At 39.5% G+C, this 22,252-nt stretch overlaps 1 protein-coding gene and 1 long non-coding RNA gene across 4 annotated transcripts in view, besides 2 other annotated features; one reads left to right on the forward strand and one right to left on the reverse strand.

The window, feature by feature from the left end:
- The window catches only part of POPDC1 (popeye domain cAMP effector 1), a 40,336-nt gene extending 25,897 nt beyond the window's left edge, over positions 1–14,439 (reverse strand). The window contains exons 1-5 of one of the 3 annotated variants that reach the window (NM_001199563.2): positions 14,251–14,439; positions 10,634–10,870; positions 6,661–6,785; positions 2,673–2,860; positions 1,829–1,937 (exon numbers count right to left, since the gene is read on the reverse strand). In NM_001199563.2, coding sequence (NP_001186492.1) covers positions 1,829–1,937; positions 2,673–2,860; positions 6,661–6,785; positions 10,634–10,859 — 648 coding nt within the window. In that variant the 5' untranslated portion in view covers positions 10,860–10,870; positions 14,251–14,439. Of the gene's footprint in view, positions 1–1,828; positions 1,938–2,672; positions 2,861–6,660; positions 6,786–10,633; positions 10,871–13,482; positions 13,631–13,874; positions 13,951–14,250 lie in introns of those variants that run through there. The other 2 variants (NM_007073.4, NM_147147.4) reach the window with 2 other exon arrangements.
- Positions 14,238–14,357: a silencer, noted in NCBI's record as "silent region_17426". NCBI's record gives its function as "represses an Ori minimal core promoter by ATAC-STARR-seq in GM12878 lymphoblastoid cells {active_cell/tissue: GM12878}" and the evidence as "EXISTENCE:reporter gene assay evidence [ECO:0000049][PMID:35858748]".
- Positions 14,368–14,477: a silencer, noted in NCBI's record as "silent region_17427". NCBI's record gives its function as "represses an Ori minimal core promoter by ATAC-STARR-seq in GM12878 lymphoblastoid cells {active_cell/tissue: GM12878}" and the evidence as "EXISTENCE:reporter gene assay evidence [ECO:0000049][PMID:35858748]".
- POPDC1-AS1 (POPDC1 antisense RNA 1) overlaps positions 14,969–22,252 on the forward strand; it is a 32,259-nt gene continuing 24,975 nt past the window's right edge. The window contains exon 1 of the long non-coding RNA NR_037157.1: positions 14,969–15,205. This is a non-coding gene — a long non-coding RNA (POPDC1 antisense RNA 1). The remainder of the gene's footprint in view (positions 15,206–22,252) is intronic.

Here is a 22,252-nt window from a genome sequence, read left to right on the forward strand (position 1 = left end):
AGAAGATGCGGCCCTGCACGTTTGTAGATCGCGGTGATTAAAGATAAACTAAGAACATAAATCTCACATCAAAGCTGACCCTCACAACAAGGTGAGAGTGTAAAGACAGGAGCCAGGACACAGCATTAGCTGTCTCCTTCTGCATTGTAAGTCCAGCCAGCTTGGGAAGAATGTTGCATAACAGTGAATCTATATGCAACCTTTTAGTAAATGCACATAACTAACAAGCTGCATGATTACTCAGGCCAGTTATTCAGGAAGGGCGGGAGCAGGGCAGGATTGAAACCACCGTAAATGATAAAAACTAAACTGTATGTCTAAAAGTGTTCTTTTATCTCCAATTTTGTGGCATCCCAAATTGTATAACATCTCAAAATGAGACTCTAAAATAAGATTCTGTCATCAAGAAACACTAACATTCCTTCCTCCCTCAGGTAGTAATAGCCTCTTCGTTTCCATTTCTTACCTAAATAGATTTACCTTCTTGCCCACAAGCAATCCCATTCTCAGGATATTACCTTACTGCTGTTAATCCAGAGGCTGAGACTAAAGGAAACTCTCACCCATTTATTTTCTTGGTTAATTTCCTTCCAATAACAAGGTGAATGAATAACATAGGAGGGCTGGACACTTACAGAAAGAATCAGAACAGTGTCACATAATGGAGCAATTTGTTTTTTGTTGTTGTTTGTTTTTTTTTGAGACGGAGTCTTGCTCTGTTGCCCAGGCTGGAGTGCAGTGGCGTGATCTTGGCTCACTGCAAGCTCCGCCTCCCAGGTTCACGCCATTCTCCTGCCTCAGCCTCCCGAGTAGCTGGGACTACAGGTGCCCACCACCACGCCCAGCTAATTGTTTGTATTTTTAGTAGAGACGGGGTTTCACCATGTTAACCAGGATGGTCTCGATCTCCTGACCTCGTGATCTGCCTGCCTCAGCCTCCCAAAATTACAGGTGTGAGCCACCGTGCCCGGCTGGAGCAATTTGTTTTAACACAAAAGGAATCACACTAAGTAGTCCATGTTCAAATTATTGCCATTACGAAGAACTTCGTTCTTTCCCCTTAAACATATTCATTAAGTAAAAAGAGTTTAGTGATTACATTTCATTCATAAGAATTAACAAAATAAATTCCCTAAGGCAAAGCCAGTTTTCTGGTTTTCTTCAATAAATGTCAATTACTTGGTTTAAGAACACTGATTATCTACAGCTCACATTTTCCTTTTCGCTAATAAAGCATAAGATGTTTTCTATAGAAAAAATTATAAAAATTCAAATAAGCAAAAAAAAATTCAAAAAGCAAACACAGTCTAGAAATAACATTATGACAAAATTAGAATATATCTTTCTATAACATTTTCTGTACATATATACAGTATTTTTTAGGCCAGGCGTGGTGGCTCATGCCTGTAATCCCAGCACTTTGGGAGGCCGAGGCAGGCAGATCATGAGGTGAAGAGATTGAGACCATCCTGGCTAACATGGTGAAACCCCGTTGCTACTAAAAATACAAAAAATTAGCCGGGGGTGGTGGCAGGCACCTGTAGTCCCAGCTACTCAGGAGGTTGAGGCAGGAGAATGGCGTGAACCTGGGAGGCGGAGCTTGCAGTGAGCCGAGATTGCACCACTGCACTCCAGCCTGGGCGACAGTGCAAGACTCCGTCTCAAACAAAAAAAAAAAAAAAAAAAAAAAGAGACAATACTATATATGCCCTATGGTAACTTGTTTTTCCCCCCAATAATTCATAGCAGTGTTTCTATTAATATCCTTTGGATTCTGAATGAGATGCAAACTAGTTTCAATCTCCTTAAAAATCATGTGAAAACATACCTGGAATTTTTCACCTTTGTGCATCTGAGTTGATCTAAATTCAGGAGAATCTATAAAGGCACAGGGGTAAATGTTATGCAGAAAATGTCCTCGATAGGAGACCTTCATTCTGATAACAGAAATTAATGTTAATAAAAGCAATATTTCACAAATACCATGATAATCCTTAAAACTGCTATCATCTTATGCGATTTTATTTTGTAGTACAGTTTTAAAAATTCCACAGAGATGATGGACATAACTAAAAGCACTTCTTGAGGCACAAGTATTTCAAAAAATAACGTTAGAAAAAGAAAAAAACAGTGTCCAGTATTGAGCCAGAGGTATGCTGTCTAGTGGTTACTATTGCTCTTCTAACAGAAGTGACCATATAATCTGTAACTCTAACTGGCACACTTCTGAGAGGGAAAGAGGTGTTATTAATAACAATGCCAGCACAACAGAGACTGACTCTCTCCCCAAAAGGCTGATATTCCTAGAAGTTGTATTTTTGTGATATTCAAGACAAATTAACTCTGGAGCATGCATAAGCTTTTTGAATTTCAATGTCTAATTTAAATCCACTACAATTTTGACTCATATTTTTAATAAAACGTCAAAAATGGTTAAAATACTTGCAATTGAAATCCTGACATCAAGATTCAGAGCAGTACACTCAACCTGGGTTTAACATGTTGCTCTATAGCATTGTAAAGTATAGTTGTAGCAAAAAATTCCACCAACAACAAACTCTGTGACTGCTTTCTCCATTCATTGGCAACATTTCCTCCCATTCACTTCCTTCCCAGAGGCCATGAAAAGATTAAAGGTAAACTAGGAATTTTGATTTCCACAGAACACTTACTTTCCCTTCAAGAGAATACTCAGACGGTCATCAACTGAGGTTTTATCCTCTGCAGCATAAGTTTGGCCCTTTTTCAAGGTTTGGATCATGCAAAACTGTCCAGTTAGTCTTCTGAACAAATCTGGAGGCACACGGAGTGGTTCAAACAATCGCCGGTACATGCCACTGAGTTCCTTTTCAATCTTTACCTGAAATGCAGCAATGACTAGATGCTTCACCAATGCAGCAGCAATCCCAAAACACTGACTTCTGTGGTCTAAATATGGTTTTGATAATTAACAAATCTTTGATATATACCATCACCCTTCTGTATTTAGGCCAATAGAATCTTACACAGCAAGTGAAATGGTGATAGAAGTTTATACTTCAGATGCTAAAAGGGTATGGTTAGGTCATGTGAGGTGGTTCATGCCTGTAATTCTGGCACTTTGGGAGGCTGAGGTGGGAGGAGCACTTGAGCCCAAGAGTTTGAGAGCAGCCTGGGTAACACAGTGAGGCTCTATCTCTAATTAAAAAGAAAAAGGTCAGGTGCGGTGGTCACGCCTGTAATCCCAGCACTTTCAGTGGTCACGCCTGTAATCCCAGCACTTTGGAAGGCCGAGGCGGGTGGATCTTCTGAGGTCAGGAGTTCGAGACCAGCCTGACCAACATGGTGAAACCCCCATCTCTACTAAAAGTACAAGAAATTAGCTGGGCGTGGTGGCATGCACCTGTAATCTCAGCTACTCAGGAGGCTGAGGCTGGTGAATTGCTTGAACCCGGGAGGTGGAGGTTGCAGTGAGCTGAGATTGCTCCATTGCACTCTAGCTTGGGCAACAAGAGCGAAACTCGGTATCAAAAAAAAATAAAAATAAAAATAAAAAAAAGAAAGAAAGAAAAGAAAAGAAAGAAAAAGAAAAAGAAAAAAAATTAGTACCTATAGTCCTGGGTACTTGGGAGGCTGAGGTGGGAGGATTACTTGAGCCCAGAAGTTTGAGACTGCAGTGAACTATGATCGCACCATTGCACTCCAGCCTGGGCAACAGAGTAACACTGTCTCAAAAAAAAAAAAAATCAAAAAACTTTTGCAGTTAAACTGAACTCAGAGCATAAGGGGAAGATCCGCACTATTCATCATAACCTCTTCCTATTAGCTATAATGCAACTGTTTAGGTTTTCAATGTTGTCACAACATTCATCTTCCCAATCTTAGCACCTTCTATAAATAACAGAAAACCTTTTCTGTGAAACCTTTTGTTTCACACACACAAAAAATTTACTAACTTTTAAATATGGCAGCAAGAAAATAAACACAAAATAGGAATCAATGAGGAAACAAATTTACAAAGGTAACACATACATTAAGCATTTTATCTCCATGTAATTACTTAATGCACCAATATAGAAAAACAAATATGCACAGCTGCAATCACTGCTTCACATTTATATACTCTCAAGTAAAGTGAAGGAAAAATAAAAGGGTGTAAAAGAGTTTTAGTGTAGAAGTTTCATTGTAAGCTAAAATGAACTCTGTAAAATGGAGAACCCACTGGCAAATAAGGCTGGCTACTGGAGGAAGAGAAAAACAAAATGGCTTAATCATTTCTGTTGTCAGATTCTCCAAAGCCCAGGTCATGCCCCATCTTTGGGCCCAGCATTAGTCTCTGGAAGTCATACTAATTGGGTGGATGGAAAACCATACTGCACTGTATCTCTGGCAGGCACTATACGAAGCCTATAGACCCAGATCATGACAGCTGCTCCAACCAATGTCACTATAGCATTTGCAGTGCTCCTACTTGTCCTGCTGTTTCATTTTGAGGAAAATCCAGCATTCATATTTTTCAAAAAAGTAGATTTATAGTATGAGAAGAAACAAAAGCACAGACACTAAGCGATTTACCTATTTGGTGCTATGATCATATCAGCAACTTCTGAACCTTACATTTTGGGGTTCCAGCAAGTTCTGACATTCAGAAAATGCAATCATTATCTACCTCCTCTACTCCAAAGCTCTATTAATGAGCATTTAATATGATTTATTCATGATCTGCTCATCCCGTAACTCTCAGATCAAGCCCTTTTTATGTATTTATTTTTTGGAGATGGAGCTCGCTCTGTTGCCTGTGCTGGAGTGCAGTGGTGTGATCATAGCTCACTGCAGTCTCAAACTCCTGGGTTCCAGTGATCCTCCCGAGAAGCTGGGACTACAGGTGTGTGCTACCGCATCCAGCTGATTTTTAAATTTTTTGTAGAGACAGGGTCTATGTTGCACAGGCTGGTCTCGAACTCCTGGGCTCAAGAGATCTTCCAACCTAGGCCTCCCAAAGTGCTGGGATTACAGGCATGAGCTATGGCGCCCAGCCTCATGAAGCCCTCTTAATTCTTTTCCTCTCTTTTTTTTTTTTGAGACAAAAGTGTTGCTCTGTCACCCAGGCTGGAGTACAGTGGCACAATCTCGGCTCACTGCAACCTCCGCCTCCTGGGTTCAAGCGATTCTTGTGCCTCAGCCTCTGAGTAGCTGGGACTACAGGTGTGCACTACCATGCCAGCTAATTTTTGTATTTTTTAGTAGAGACAGGGTTTCGCCATGTTGGCCAGACTGGTCTTAAACTCCTGACCTCAGATGACCCACCCGCCTCGGCTTCCCGAAGTGTTGGGATTACAGGCGTGAGCCACTGCACCTTGCCTAATACTTTTCCTCTTTGAAAGCATTTACTCATCAAAGGTTTTTTTGAGCACCTACTGTGTGCCAATAATGGTTGACAGGAAAAGTGGATACAACAATAAGTGTGTTAGATTATTGTTTCCAATTATTCACTGCTCCCAACCTCTGTAAGAGGACTGTACATCCCCTTACTCCACCCCATGCCCCATATTATCAAACTGGGCCATGTCACTTGTTTTTGCCAATGAAATATGAACAGAAACAATATATGTCCCTTTTGAGCAAAAGTTTTAAGAGACATTGGGTGTTTCTCTTTTGCTCTCCAGTACTTTTTCTTCTGCCATGAGAATGCATGGTCCAAATAGAACCTGCTGCTTCAGCACAGACCCTTAAATGAATGAGATGCATAGAATAGAATCACAGCTGACACATAGCTGCCAGAGGCAAGATACAAGGTGGGTGAGAAAAAAAGCCCATTTGCTGTTATATATCATTGAGATTTATTACATAGCATAACCTGGAAAAAACTGAATATTACAGTAAAACAACACAGACTGACTCACTATGTTTAGATGAGGTTACAATCTAGTTGAATGCCTATTATATATCATCTGCATCATTCAAATTAGAATCTTCTATGAATCATCTTGTTTTCTGATAGTTTTCTACATGCAAATCTGGCCCCAAACATAAGATTAAGGCAAGCATTATATCTTTTACTTTACTGAATGTTTGTTTGTGCTTAGGAAAGTCAGTAGATATATATGGGGTGATTTCTAGGACCCCTGCTGTTTTCCTACTCTTTCTATTCTTGGTATGATCAACAAATACAAGATAAATCAGAGTTGAAAAGAAAAAGTTAAAGACTGGTGTTTTGGTAGCAACCCACCAAATATGGTGACTTCCTTAGATGAATATTTTGGGCATTAGAAAAATATACAGTTATTACACTAAAAAATAGCATGAACTATTTGTAAATCATTAGAATGTTTAAGAAGTTGCCTATTAGTAAGTAATTTTATAACTGGGCAATGATATTTCCAGGTTAACATCTGAATATCAATATAAAAAATCAAGTAATATGACTTAAAAAGGAAAATATTATTCATGTTCTCTCATATGCTAATGATTTTTAAAGTTTTAAAAACTCATTTGTAGAACAAATTTCGTGGTACTAAAATGTTTCACTTTCAGGCATAATGTAAACAGAAAGCCTAAACTTCAGAGAAATTATATTAAAGTGACTAAATATGCTAGATACTTACTCTTAACTCTGAACAAAGTACCTTTCAAAGTTTTAGCTTTAAAATCACTTCCTTATTAATTAATTTTAATAATTACCGGTCTCTTCTTGTATAAAAGATACGACAGATGCAAAATGTTGACACCCAAGAACACAGAGTTCCAGATCATTATATCCAAGGCACATCGGTAGAGAGTGGCCCAGACGATATAAAGGGTACATCCTGTTGAAGAGCAAAGTTAACACGTTAGATAATCTAGAAGAGCCTAAGTGGGGAGCTTAATAAATTTGATATCCTCTATATATACAGTAGTCCTCCCTTTTCTGAAGGTGATACTTTGCAAGACCCCCAGTGAACGCCTGAAACCATGGATAGTATACAACTCTATAAACACTACGTTTTATTGATCTGATACCCAAGACAGCTAATAAGCAATCACTGGGTGGGTAACACAGATAGTGGGGATAAGTTGGACAAAGGGATGATTCACATCTCAGGCAGGATATAGCAAAACACTGCAAGATTTCATCGCACTATTCAGAATGTCTTGCAATTTAAAATGTATGAATTGTTTATTCTTGGTATTTTCCATTTAATATTATTGGACTGTTGTTGACCACAGAAAGTGAATCCATGGATGTGGGGACTACTGTAAATCAAACACATTTTAGAACTACCTAAGCCAAATATCATGTTGTTTCATTTTGTTTTTTGTCCAGTGACCAAAAAAACCCCAAATATATGCTTTGTTGAATAAAATCTGTATTAAAAATATATAGGAAATACAAAGTTTAAAAATATTTTTAAAGGGGAAAAATCCATAATTCTACTACTTTAAGAAAGCCATTAAATATCAAATAATTTAATTCTGCCTTACAGAGTTTTCATACAGTTTTACCTGATGGCAAACCTAGCACACATACAATTTTAAAATCTCCTTTTTGACTTATTCCAGTGATTTTCCCATTTCATTAAACTCTTTGCCAGCATAGTTTTAAAAGACTGCAGCTGATTAAACCATAATTTATTTAACCATCCCCCTACTGCCGGAAACACAATATTTTGAGGGTATAATTTTTGACAAGTGGAAAAAAAATTTTATACATACAAATTTTTCTGTATTTGTGATTGTTTACTTAGTCTGGATTACCTGAAGGTGAATCTAGGGAATGAAATTTATAGTTTTTTACAATATTGAAGAATTGTTTTCCAAAAGGTTTGTACAAATTTGCAATCCTACTAGTTAGAAATGCTAATATCAAGTTGTCAGTATAGTCATGTGTCACTTAATGACAGGGATATATTCTGAGAAACATTTCGTTAGATGATTTTGTTGCTGTGTGAACATCAGAGACTATACGTACATAAACCCAGATGGCATAGTCTACTACACTATAGGGTATAAACCAATAAAGTACAGCTTGTTACTGTATTGAATATTGAATACTGCAGGCAATTATAACACAATGGTGAATATTTGTATATCTAAATATATCTAAACATGGAAAAGGTGAACATGTGGTACTATATTATGGGACCACTTTCGTTATACGATGCATAACTGTATTATAAAATGTGAAAACTCCTAATTTGATAGTGAGGAATTATGTATACTTTATTTTGCATTTCCATGATTACTGGTGAGCCTGCATATTTTACCAAAATGTTTTAGCCATCTGAATTTTCCCTTGGTGATTATCCATTTATCTCTGAGAATCTTCCTGTGTTTTCTTATTGATTCTCTTACCTTATATAAAATATCCCCAGTTTCTTTTGATCAATTTTATGATAGGAGAGTTAATACAGTATATACATTTAAAATAAAACTATCATGAAGATATAAATCATTGACACACGCATACTCACAAAAGCTAACCACCCACTTTAAAAGTTACTCACTTGCAATTTTTTATTTCATAAGAATGATTTGATGCACCTGAATAAAGCCCAAAATGTAAAAATTTAAATATTCTTTAAGTAATATTTCATAGCAAATAGTGAAGCAATTTAAAATATTTTAATTTAAAGGAGACAAGGTATATAATGGGAGGATAGAGAAAAACTGGAGGACCTGAATTATAGTCCTGGTTTGGCCATTTTTTCTCCATCTTAATTTTGGATGGGTCATTTTACTTGTCTAGGTTTCACTTTTTAAAATTTTTTTTTCTTTTTTGAGACAGGGTCTTGCTCTGTCGCCCAGGCTGGAGTGCAACAGCCTCGACATCCCAGGCTCAAGCCGTCCTCCCACCTCAGTCTCCCAAATAGCTGGGACCACAGATGCATGCCACCATGCCTAGATAATTTTTAAATGTTTTGTAGACAGAAGGTCTCACTACATTGCCCAGGCTGGTTTTGAACTCCTGGCTTCAAGAGATACTCTCACTTCAGCCTCTCAAAGTGCTAGGACTACAGGCGTTAGCCACTATGCCTGGCCTAGATTTCTCTTTCTGCATTTACAGAATAAAGTGTTAGATTTGATAATATCTTTGGTTCATTCCACCTCCAAAACTCTGTCTTAAAATTCATAATTGATGTTTGCTTTTTTATAGGGTACGGTATTTTTTTTTCCATTCAACTCCCTGTTCCTACTGCTGTAATCCTCACCTTACTCACAGGTCACACAGCCACAGAGGTCCCACAAGCTTCTACTAACCTTCCAGCCTCTTTTTCCTTGTCATTTATCACTTTTTTTTTTTTTTTTTTGAGGCAGAGTCTAGCTCTGTCGCCAGGTTGGAGTGCAGTGGCACAATCTTGGCTCACTGCAACCTCTGTCTCCGGGGTTCAAGCAATTCTCCTGCCTCAGCCTCCCGAGTAGTTGGGATTACAAGTGCCTGCCACCATGCCTGGCTAATTTTTGTACTTTTAGTAGACACAAGGTTTCACCATGTTGGCCAAGCTGGTCTCGAACTCCTGACCTCAGGTAATCCACCCACCTCGGCCTACCACAGTGCTGGGATTACAGGCGTAAGCCACTGTGTCCAGCCCATTTATATTTTTAAGCACAATGCACTACTCTACGTTCACCCCAATATGCTCAATTTCCTTCTCTTCTGTGCTCTTTGTTTGGATACTATACCCATTTACTCAGATAAATCCTGCTCATCTTCCAAAATCCAGGTCCCATGTCACCTCCTCAGCGGGACCCTGCTCTGCCTTCCTACTAAGCCTATCACCTTCTCCGTGTCCCCCTGGATAATGGGTGCACACCTGCATCCCAGCATCTGATACGCCATACTGGGATTGCCCATCTGTTTCTCCACCAGCCCCCACAAGAGTGTCTTTCTCAAGGATGAAGACGGCCTTCCTCAGTCTTTGTCTGGACACATCACAGGTGCTAAAAAATGCACCTGAATAAATGGGCCATCAGGGAAATAATCACATAGAGAATAATTTGTCAAGAATCACTGGCTAATATAACAGATTCAATTGTTTTAATGTTCTGATGTGAATCAATTTAACTTGCTTCATCAGGGTTACTGGGACCAAAAAAAATTTGTTTTATTTGAACTACTGTATCTGGTAATTGTTTTTGTTCCCAATGTTTCTTTACTGCCCACAGCAAATATCTTTTCAAGTAATAATAGTTAAAACTATACAGTACTTACTATGGGCAGGCAATATTCCAAGTTAAATATATATATGACACACATTTAATTCACAACAACTTTGGGAGGTGGTATTATTTTTACCCTTATCTGATACATGAGGAAACTGAGGCAGTAGAAAGATTAAATCACTTGCCCAAGTTACAGTTGACAAGAAATAGAACCAGGATTTGAATCACACAATTTGGCTTTAAAGTTCATACTCTTACACATGAATGAATGTTCTGGTATCTGGAAAACCTAAACAACATATGAAAGCACATATAAACAAAGTAAGTAAGGGAGAGATATGGCATGTGAAGGCCTATGCTCTAAGCTAATTGATATACTGCTAATTCATTAACAAAGACTTACATTTTTTGGCTTGCTATGGGCCTGACAAAGAATACTCTGAAGCTCTCAATGTAAAGCCCATCTTATGTCAGTTACAGAAAAGTTACATAAAGTATCAGTTAGGTATCTTACCTAGAGTTAACATTCCCCTAAGAAATATCATATGAAGGTGAAGAGTAGTTGGAATAACCAACCCAACTGCAAAACAAATATTTGCTACATGAAAAACCAGATGATGTATCTCTCTCCAGTTTTCACAAGTGGTCTTATTGGAAGGCACAGGTATGATACTTTCTAACTCAGGTGTAAAACCTATGGCAGTTGATTCTCTCAATGGGCTGGACTCTGTATAATTCATTTTGAAAATTCCTGTAAAAACAAGTAAACAAAAGTAAAATCGTAAAAATGGCAATTGTATCTTTTTACCTTCATAGGTATTATACCAAAATTATTTCTGTGAATTAAATAGACTTCTCTAGTGCTTATGAATTAGACAGACCCAGATTCAAATCCAACTCTGTCACATATTAAATGTATTCAGTTCCTTACCTGTTAAAAGATGGTAATAATACCTCATTTGCCTTATGATCAAATGAAATGAAATACATAAAATACTTAGCATAGTGCAAAACTATTCCCTCATAGGCACATATATACGTATAAACACTTGTAGGGAAGGGAGGAGTGAGGGAATTAGTCTTTAAGATAATCACCAATGTTCATAAACCATGGTAATTACAAAGTTATTTAGTCTAGTCTTCCATCAAATTCCCACTGGTGACTGAATCCAAACACAGGAAAAATAACTAGAAAACTAATTATTTGAATACTTAAAAAATATGAATACCCTCACATCTATTTGAAGGCTTAGGATATTTAGAAGGCTCTATTTTTATACCACCATTAAATCACTGTATCATACATACATAATACATTATCATATATGCAAATAATATATAGCCATATAAACATTTATATATACACAGAGAGATACAACATGAAACTTTTATTGTCTTATTTAAATCTCTACTTTATTTCCCATAATAATTCTACCTGGTAGCATATCACAAATTTAAAAGTAGTAAACTTCCAGTTTACTTATACATATGAAAATCCATAGCAAGTACATTTAAAGAATATACATTTTACACATGCTTATATAAAACCATTTCCTATGTTACCTGTCTTCGGTCTCCGGTCCTTAAAAAACACTCTATTATTAATTGCACAAATTTGGTCCTTGCCAAACACTATGTAGGTTTACAGATTATATGAATTATTCTGTTTCAGCAAAATTCCAAATGGGGACCCTAAATACATTTAAATTTAGAAATATGTATTTCTTTCAAAATAAGGTCATGCAATTAATCTTACTCTTCTACTGCTTGTTCTTAACATACTAAAGGTTTTAGGTAGTAGAATAATTAATTGGTACAAAATGGGTATTTTGAAAGGATGTTAACAGACAAATGTGAAAGAATTCCACAGCTTAAAGATGATAAAAAACAAGCACACCAATTTACAAATTGTGAATGAAATGATCAAGTCAACTGAAGATCTTTTTACATAATTCTGAAATAGCTCATAAATATTAATAGTAATAGTTGACTTAGATATTGATTTGCTACAAAAAGGAAAGAAACAAAAATTCACCTATTTTCCAAATGTCTGAAATCAGCAAATATATAAGCCTATCAGGATGGCGGGGGGGAAGATCATTATTTTAATAACTCCATTTATACAAAATTTGCTTTTCAAGGCCAAACGAGAATGAATCTCGTAACTTCTGCAGGACAGAGAATGATATGAGGTATCCTCTATCACTCATAACCCAACATCACCTACCCTAGCATTACATAGGTTAATAATAACTATCATTTCGACAGCACTGTAGAATGTACCTACACTCCCATTGTCCTGTTTGTCCTCTAGGAGGCAGGGACAATGTTTATTCATCTATGTACTTCCAAGGCCTAGCCTCTGTAGAGAAGGCCACTGAGACAGGGATGAAAGCCACTCTGAAGGAACGTCAACCTGATAAACACTTTCAGAAATCACTGTTCCGTCTCCCCAGATCTCAGTAATAAAGCCAGAGGAGTGCCTAGCCTTCCTGAGGTTGAGTGAGGTTCTACACCACAAGCCACCAGGGTGCTACATAAGCCAGGGAAAGCCACTTCTGCTCCTCGGGTCTGTTTCTTCCTTGGAATAGGGAAAACTTTAATAGCCTATGGTTCTATAATACACATTTACATAATCAATCAATCAATACATGTTGCCCCTCGAGTTCACCCAATTTCACCTGTATTGCCTATTAATCCACTATAATTCAATATCAGGCTTTTACAAGTTCTTAAAGTGACACTAAAAGTACCAATTTCTGGTCCAAGAAAAATGACAGGAAAACTACTATTATGACCCAAGAACCAGAAAATATTATTAGCAGTTTTTAGAAGGTACGGTCATCCTAAACATGTTTTGACGCACGACACCTTATTAAAGAGAGAGAGAGATATATATAGATATATGTATCTATATATCTATATAATTGTCTATTGTGAAATGCCAGTTACCTATTGTCGAAAATATTGATCAGATCAGTTTACTTTGATTACCACTTAATCGTTAAGTGGCTTACACTTAACAATTCTTATACAGAGAATAGGTGGAAAGAGAAAGGTTAGACTGCTAAATTGGTAAACTTTTCAGATTAATTTTGACTAAATCAAGAGAAATTATTTTTCCCTCATCAGATCATCAAAGTTGAAGTCCTTAAATTACCTATACTAGTAAAGTTTTGTTTATCGTTTTTCAAATAGGTGATTGTAGGGCTAAATAGCTAAATGCTGAAACTAACATTAAACCTCTACCAAACTAAAAAAATGAAAAAGATAACTGCAAACGAGCGTCTTGCTAGTCGAGTTAATTCATTCTGTAATTCTAACTGAATCTTCGCACATCTCCCGAATGGCAAATGGCATTACATTGCTAAGAGTCTTTTCGCACTTATTCATGCTTCAAAGCAGGCAGTTTCTGGGACTTGTCTGGCCAACAACCCGTTCCCAAAGGCTCGGGGAAGGAGGTTGCGGGTGGGTGGCGCGGACCTCGGGTCCCCAGCCATCGGCGCTCTCCCGGGGCCCTCTGACCTCGCTCCTTAAAGGAGGAGGGTCCGTGGCAACGGTCCTCCTCGGCCAGGCGCTCTCGGGACGCGGGGGTGAGGAGTGAGCGCCGTGGCCCACCCTACTCTCCGAGCGGGGACGGAGTGGGCGACACCGCGCGCCCGGCTGCACGCAGGCTCTGCGCGGCTCGAGGCGGCCCTACAGGGGGCGAGGAGGAACCCCGGAGACTCGGCGGAGAGAGCAGAGACGGAGCTCACCAAGGGGCTTGCCGCCGCAGAGCGCGGGAGCCGGCACTCGGTGGGGCCGAGGGCCCGGGGACGCTGGGGCTGCCTGACCTGAGCGGCGGCCGCTGACCGTTGAGGGTCTCTGTGGCCGCAGCGCCCAGACCCGGGGAGAAGGGCGGCCTCCAAGGGCCGGGAGCCCCTCGAGGGCGCGGCCAGCGAGGAGGGACAGAGGGCGGCGCCCCCGGCTGCCCGGGCGCGTAGAACAAGCAGCTGCCGCCAGGGCCGACAAAGTTGCTCCCCGAGGGGCTGAGATCCAACTTTCGCTTCCCGATTTAGCCAGGGGAGCGCGAGGCCGCACACAACCCGGCGCGGGGGGAAAGCCGGCTGCAGCTGCGCCTCCCATCCTTACCCGGCTGGTCCCTGGCGGGGAGCCTGGGCAGCGCCGACCAAAGTTCGGAGCGGCAGCTTCGGGGCGCGGGACGCGGGGCACACGGGCTCAGCTGCTCGACGGGAGCCCGACGCGCGCTCCTCGGCGGGTCGGCGGGTCCGGAAGCTCCGCTGCCCGGGCCGGGTCCCCAAGCCCGCAGCCGCTTTGACTAAAATAGGCATCGCGACGGCGGCGGCAGGCGGCGGCAGCCAGGGCTGGGGCCGCACCGCGCACGCGCATGCGCCCGCCGCCCCGCGCCCCCCGGCGGGCGGAGCCCGGCGCCGCGGCCAGGATTTCCCACCTCGCTCCCGCGACTCCGCTGCGGGTCTGCACACCCGAGGACTCGGTTTGAAACGCCCGCTTATTTATTTTCTTGTCGCCTCGCTACAAGATTCTATCCTTGTTTGGGCATGAGTGGGGGGCGGCAGTCTCGTGGGACCGGCGGCATTCGTCGTTCCTCCTTACGGGGATAATTCGAGAAGTGCGGTCCGGGTAGGGAGAGAAATCAGGAGAGAAAATGAGAAAGAGAATCCTCGTTTCCCCTCAAAGTTGGACGACCCACTCGTATATCTCCTTTTTGGGAGATTCGCCCATAACTCAGCACAAACAGGGAATAGCCCGGAAAGCGCGCGAGTTCCCGTCCGATTGTGGCGGGGGAGGCTGAACGTTTGGTCCACACGGGTGCAGGACGCGGGGGTCAGGCCTCCTGCTGCGGAGGAAGAGGGGGAAGAGGCCGCGCGGGAGGGACTTCTGACACGCGCCACTGTTTTTGTTTTCAAACAGGGGTACTTAACCGAAACTAGCAATCCCAGGCGGTACAAGGCCCTCCATCGTAGGCAAAGCACTACCTGAATGTAGATTTGGGCCATACGTTGGAAAATAAGACATGAGAGTATGCTCCGATCAACTTTTACTGTTCACTGGACAACTATTTTGGGTAAGAAAAGCAAGGAAACTTAATAAAGAATTGGCGTTGTTGGGAGTTGTCTTGTAGGACAATAGAGGAAGGTTAGATGGGTACCCAGTTTCCACCAAAAGTGTCCCATTATTGGTTAAAATTGGCATCAGTTATTAGATTATGAGATCGTTCATGCATGTGAAATGTGATCTCAATATAAAAAATACCACCACCGATTGTGTGAAGGTACATTATAAAGAGTACCTGGAGGTGCACACTGGACAAGTCTCTGGTTGAAGAGATGGTGCAGCCTAGTAAGAAAGAGCATGGGCCTTGATGTCACACAAGCCGGGTTTGAATACTCCCTCTCCTACCAGTTTACTGTGTGACCTTGGAGAAGTTACCTAGCCCTTCTGTGCCTCAGTTTCCTTTTTGGAACATGGGGATAATGATGATGATGATGATGATGATGATGATAATTATGATAATTGTACCTGCACTTCATAGTATAGTTTTGAGGACTAAATGGTGTAATTATATATAAGGGTCTTAAAATGGTGTTTGGGACATAAGTTCTATGTATATATATTGTATTTATAAAACTCCTTTTCTAATACGTCTGAACTTTCCTATAACCATAAAAGATTACTTTTTGAGATTACTTCTTTAGAGTCTGTTTCTTTCTAGATGCTCTGCCAGCCTTTTTTTTTTGAGGCAGAGTTTCACTCTTGTTGCCCAAGCTGGAGTGCAATGGCGCGATCTGGGCGCACTGCAACCTCCGCCCCCCGGGTTCAAGCGATTCTTCTGCCTCAGCCTCCCCAGTAGCTGGGATTACAGGTGTGCCCACGTCCCTACCAGCTGTTTTGATAGCTACCACTAAATACATTTTAAGGTGTGGGTATACATGTGTGCGTAAAGACTTAACTACACAGATGTTCACTGGAGGGTGAGTTATAATAATGAATATTGGAAATAGCCTAAATTCTAACCACAGGGGACTAAGTAAATTATAGAACATCCAGACAGTCTTGTTTATGAAAGAGCATGGGCCTTGATGTCACACAAGCTGGGTTTGAATCCCCCCTCTCCTACCAGTTTAAACAGCCATTAAAAATAAAAAACATAGAAACAGACTCTATGTTTAAACAACCATTAAAAATAATTTCTAGAAAGATATTATAGACATCATAATAATGTCTACTAATTATATAAAGCAAGCTATGCCCCCAAAACCCCAGCCCACTGCCTGTTTTTGTATACCCATTTTTACATTTTTTATGGTTGGAAAAAATCAGAAGAAGAATATTTCATGATATGTGAACATTATATAAAATTCAAATTCAGTGTCCATAAAGTTTTATTGGAACCCAGTCACGTTCATTTTTATGGCTGCTTTCATGCTGCCAGTGCGGCTTTGATTAGTTACAAGAGAAACCTTATGGCCCACAAAGCCTAAAATGTTTACTCTCTGGCTCTACAGAAGAAGCTTACTGATGCCTCACATAGAGTATACTTTGTGTCAGGCAGTGTTATAAGTAACTTAGATATATTGTCACCTATTACACACCCACTCCTTACCTTCAGGATAGGATACCTGTAAGGCATGTAGATCTTATAAAGATTGCACATTTTTATGAAAAGAGCACTGAATTAGTTATCATAAGATTTGAGTTCTAGCCTTTCACAGAGTCTGTGTTTTCTTTGAGTCTGTGTTCTATAGGAAGTGAAGACTGGAAAAAACCTAATCCCCTCACTATAACCCATCTAGGATTGAAACCGTTATTTATAATGAGTATCTTACTGTATTTTAATTTCTTATCCCAGATGTATGAATAGTAGCTTTATAAAATTCAAAGCAAGAATTCTAAACACATAGCCCAGGATATGGGAATGCCTTAAGCTCCCTGGTCTCCTCCTGCTGGCCACAGAAAGGTCAGATTGAAAGCTTCCGAGCGCTATTTTGAAAGTTAATATGAAGCAAGGAGCTAATTTGCACATACGTGTAGAATGAAAAGGGTAAGAAGCATGAATAACAAAATACAAGGCAGTCTGTCTCCTCTGTAAAAACTCTGGCTAGTGTTAGATTGACATAATTATTTTTACCTTTATTTCTCTATAGGCATCCTAGTCTACTTTTACCAGTTGGATAAAACCTTAATGAGACTTCAAAGTTCAGATAGAATAAGTTTTGTGAAAATAAAACAAGATCTGAGGGAGTCACTTGTTTTAAAAGTACACATATATTGGGAGGCTGAAGTGGGCGGATCACCTAAGGTCAGGAGTTCTAGCCAACATGGTGAAACCCCATTTCTACTAAAAATACAAAAATTAGCCCGGTGTGGTGGTACATGCCTGTAATACAGCTACTCTGGAGGCTAAGGGACAGGAATTGCTTGAACCCGGGAGGCAGAGGTTGCGATCAGCCGAGATCACACCACTGCACTCCAGCCTGGGCAATAGAGTGAGACTCTGTCTTAAACAAAAAACAAAAAAACAAGTACTCACATAACAGTAAGTAGCGTTATATTCCTTATCTACAAATCTGCCCATGGTATACATCAGTGTAGACTTTATTTCAACTGTTATTACTAATTGCATGGAGACTATAGCAGTTTCTGATACATTCTCATAGCAGACAGTTCTGGTCACGACTGGTTTCTGAACCCACATTCCTCTCACTAATTGTTGCATTAACTTTTTCACTGACCAGTTTGACAACCATCCTCACTGATTGTTTTTACATTTCTTTTGATTTTTAAAAAATTAATGGACTTTTTTAAAGAGCAGTTCAAGTTTACAGATGACTGAGCAGATAGTTTCCCTCATGATTAACACCTTGCATTAGTGTGGTATGTGTGTCACAAAGGGAGAACTCAAACTGATCCATCATTATTAACAAAGGTCTGTAGTTTACTTTACAGTTCACTCTTCATGTTGTAGATTCTGCAGGTTTTGCCAAATGTATAATGTCATGTATCCACCATTACAGTATCATACAGAACAATCTCAATATACTGTGCTGCAGTTCTTCATCCCTCTGTCTATCCTCCTCCCACACCCCTGGCAACCACTGATCTTTTTACTGTCTTCATAGTTTTGCCTTTTCCAAAATATCCTATTGTTGGCATTATATAATGTATTGCCTTTTCAGATTGGCTTCTTTCACTAAGCAGTATGCATTAAGTTTCTTCCATGCCTTTTCTTTTTTTAATGTGATGTATGTATATATTGTGAAATGATTACCACAATCAAATTAGTTGACACATCCATCACCTCAGATAGTTACCATTTTTATGTGTGTAGTGAGAACATGTAAGATCTACTCTCTTAGCAAATTCAGTTATAAAATAAAGTATAGCTAACTGGAGTCACTACTCCATTCATTGGATCCCCAGAGCTTATTCATCTTATAACTGGAAGTTTGTACCCTTTGACCACCTCCCCGGTTTTCCCACCCTTCAGCCCCGGGTAACTGTATTCTCTGTTTCTGTGAGTTCAACTTTTTTAGATTCCATGCATAAGTGAGGTCATACAACATTTGTCTATCTCTTTCTGACTTATTTCACTTAGTGTAAGCCCTGCATTTTTATTCATGTTACAAATGAAAGAATTTCCTTCTTTTATGGCTGGATAATATTTCACTGTGTACATATGCCATATTTTCTTTATCCATTCCTTCCTCAGTGGACACTTACATTGTTTCCCTGTCTTAGCTGTTGTTAATATTGCTGCAATGAACATGGGAGTGCAGACATCTCTTTGAGATACTGATTTTATTTCCTTCAATATATACCTAGAATTGGGCTTGCTGGATCATATGGTAATTATATTTTTAATTTTTCAGGGAACCTCCATACTGTTTTCCGTAATGGCTATACCAGTGTACACTCCCACCAACAATGCACAGGGGCTCCTTTTTCTTCATATTCTGGCCAATACTTGTTACCTCTTGTCTTTTTGATAGTAGCCATTCTAACAGGTGTGAGGTGATTATCTCATTGTAGTTTTGATTTGCATTTCCTTGATGATAGTAATGGTGAACACCTTTTCGTGTGTCTGTTAGCCATTTGTATGTCTTTGGAAAAATGTCTATTGAGGTCCTTTACCTATTATTTATTTATTTATTGCTGTTGAGTTATATGAGTTTCTTACATATTTTGGATATTAACCCCTTATCAGAGATATGGTTTTCAAATATTTTCTCCCATTCCATAAGTTGCCTTTTCATTTTGTTGATTGTTTCCTTTGCTGTGCAGAAGCCTTTAAGTTTGATGGAATCCCACTTGTTTGTTTTTGCTTTTGGTATCATATCCAAAAAGTCATGGCCAAGACCAATGTCAAGAATACTTTTTCTTACATTTTCTTCTAGTGGTTTTATGGTTTCATTTAAGTCTTTAATCCATTCAGAGTTAATTTTTGTGAATGGTATAAGATAAGGGTCCAATAATCAGTCTTCCCAAAACAATTTATTAAAGATACTATCTTTCCCCCATTGTATATTTTTGGTGCTGTCATCAAAAATTACTTGATCATAAACACATGGACTCATTTCTGGGCTATTCTGTTTCATTGGTCTAGACGTGTGATTTTATGCTGGTACCATTGTTCTGATTACTGCAGGTTTGTAATACAGCTTGAAATCAGGAAATGTGATGCCCCTAGCTTTGTTCTTCTTTCTCAAGATTGCTTTGGCTATTTGGGGTTTTTGTTTGTTTGTTTGTTTGTTTGTTTCTTTTGAGATGGAGTCTCACTGTGTTGGCTAGGCTGGAGTGCAGTGGCACAGTCTCCGCTCACTGCAAACTCTGCCTCCAGGGTTGAAGTGATTCTCCTGCCCTAGCCTCCCAAGTAGCTGGTATTACAGGTGCCCACCACCATGCCTGGCTAGGTTTTGTATTTTTAGTAGAGACGCGGTTTCTCCACGTTGGCCAGGCTGGTCTCGAACTCCTGACCGCAAGTGATCCACCCACCTCGGCCTCCCAAAGTGCTGGAAGGGATTACAGGCGTGAGCCACAGCGCCTGGCCTATTTGGGGCCTTTTGTAGTTCCATGCGAATTTTAGGATTTTTTTTCTATTTTTGTGAAAAATGCCATTGGAATTTTGATAGAAAATGCATTGAGTTTATAGATTACTCTTGGTAGTATAGACATTTTAACAATATTAATCCTTCCGAACCACGAACGTAGGACATATTTTCATTTATTTGTGTCTTCCTCAATTTATTTCATCAATGTTTTATACTTTTAGTGTATAGGTCTTTCATGTTCTTGGTTAAATGAATTGCTAAATATTTTATTGTTTTGATGCTGTTGTCAATGAGATTGCTACTTCATTTCAGGTAGGTTGTTATTCATATACAGAAATACAACTGGTTTTCACATGTTGATATTATATCCTTTAATTTTACTGAATGTGCTTATTAGTTCTAATAATTTTTGGTGGAGTATACAGGGTTTTTATATATAAGATCATGTCTTCTGCAAATATACAATTTTACTTCTTCCTATCTGATTTGGAAGGCTTTTGTTTCTTTTTCTGCCCCAGCGAAGACTTTCAGTACTGTCTTAAATAGAAGACAAGACACTCTCGTCTTGTTCCTGACTTCAGCTTTTCCTTTTTCTTTTTCTTTGTTTTTTCGAGACGAGGTCTTGCTGTATTGCCCAGTCTAGTATGCAGTGGCATGATCATAGCTCACTGTGGCCTTGAACTCTGGGTTCAAGTAATCCTCTTCTCTCAGCCTCCTGAGTAACTGCAACTATAGCTGTGTGCTGCCACAGCCCGCTAATTGTCATATTTTTTTAGAGACAGATCTCACTGCTCACTGTGTTGGCCAGGCTGGTCTCAAACTCCTGGCCTCAAGTGATCTTCCCACATCAGCTTCCCAAAGTGTTGGAATTACAGGTGTGAGCCACCATGCCCAGTCAGCTTTCAGCCTTCACCATTGAGTATGATGTTAGCTGTGGGCTTGTGATATATGGCCTTTATTGTGTTGCGGAACATTCCTTTTGAGAGTTTTTATCATGAAAGGATGTTGAATTTTGTCAAACGTTTTTCCACAGATACTGAGATGATCATCATATGGTGTTTGTATTTCACTCTGTCAGTGTGGTGTATCATATTTATTTATTTGTATATGTTGAACTATCCTTGCATCCCAGGGATAAATCCCCCTTGATCATGGTGTGTGAAATCTTTAATGTGTTGTTGAATTTAGTTTGCTAGTATTTTGTCGAGGATTTTTGCATCTATGTTCATTGAGGATATTGGCCTGTAATTTTCTTTTCTTGTGGTGTCCTTATCTGGCTTTGGTATGAGGGTAATTCTGGGCCCATAAAACGTGTTTGGAAGTGTTCTCTCCTCTTCGGCTTTCTGGAAGAGTTTGAGAAAGACTGACGTTAAATTAAAAGTTAAAGATTGAAGCTTTAAATATTTGGTAGAACTCACTAGTGAAGCCATTTGGTCCTTTACTTTTCTCGTTGAGTCTTTTTATTACTATTCATTCTCCTCACCATTGTTGGTCTGTTCAGATTTTCTATTACTTATGATTTAGTTTTGGTAGGTTGTCTGTTTCTAGTTGTTTATTTATTTCTTTTAGGTTACCCAATTGTGGCCATATAATTGTTCATAGTAGTGTCTTATGATCTTTTCTATTTCTGTGGTATCAATTGTAACCTTCATGTCTTTTTGAGTCTTAATAGCCCATATCTTTTTATTACTGGATGTACCACGGTTCATTTATCCATTTACCATTTTAAGGACATCTTGGTTTCTTCCAGTTTTGGCAAATTATGTCTAAACATATATAAACATTGGTGTGGAGTTTTTTGTGTACACATATTTTCAACTCATTTGGGTAAATACCTAGGATCATATGGTAAGACTATGTTTAGGTTTGTAAGAAAACTTCCAAACTGTCTTCCAAAGTGGCTGCACCATTTTGCAATCTCACTAGCAATGAATGACAGTTCCTGTTGCTTCACATCTGTACTAACATTTAATACTATCATTTTTTTGTAGGGTGGGGTGGGGAGTTCTAGCCATTCTAATAGGTGTGTTTTTTACTTTATAAATTGATTCAATTACTTAATT

The sequence above is a fragment of the Homo sapiens genome, chromosome 6 (genome assembly GCF_000001405.40).
Source record: "Homo sapiens chromosome 6, GRCh38.p14 Primary Assembly".
NCBI lineage: Eukaryota > Metazoa > Chordata > Mammalia > Primates > Hominidae > Homo > Homo sapiens.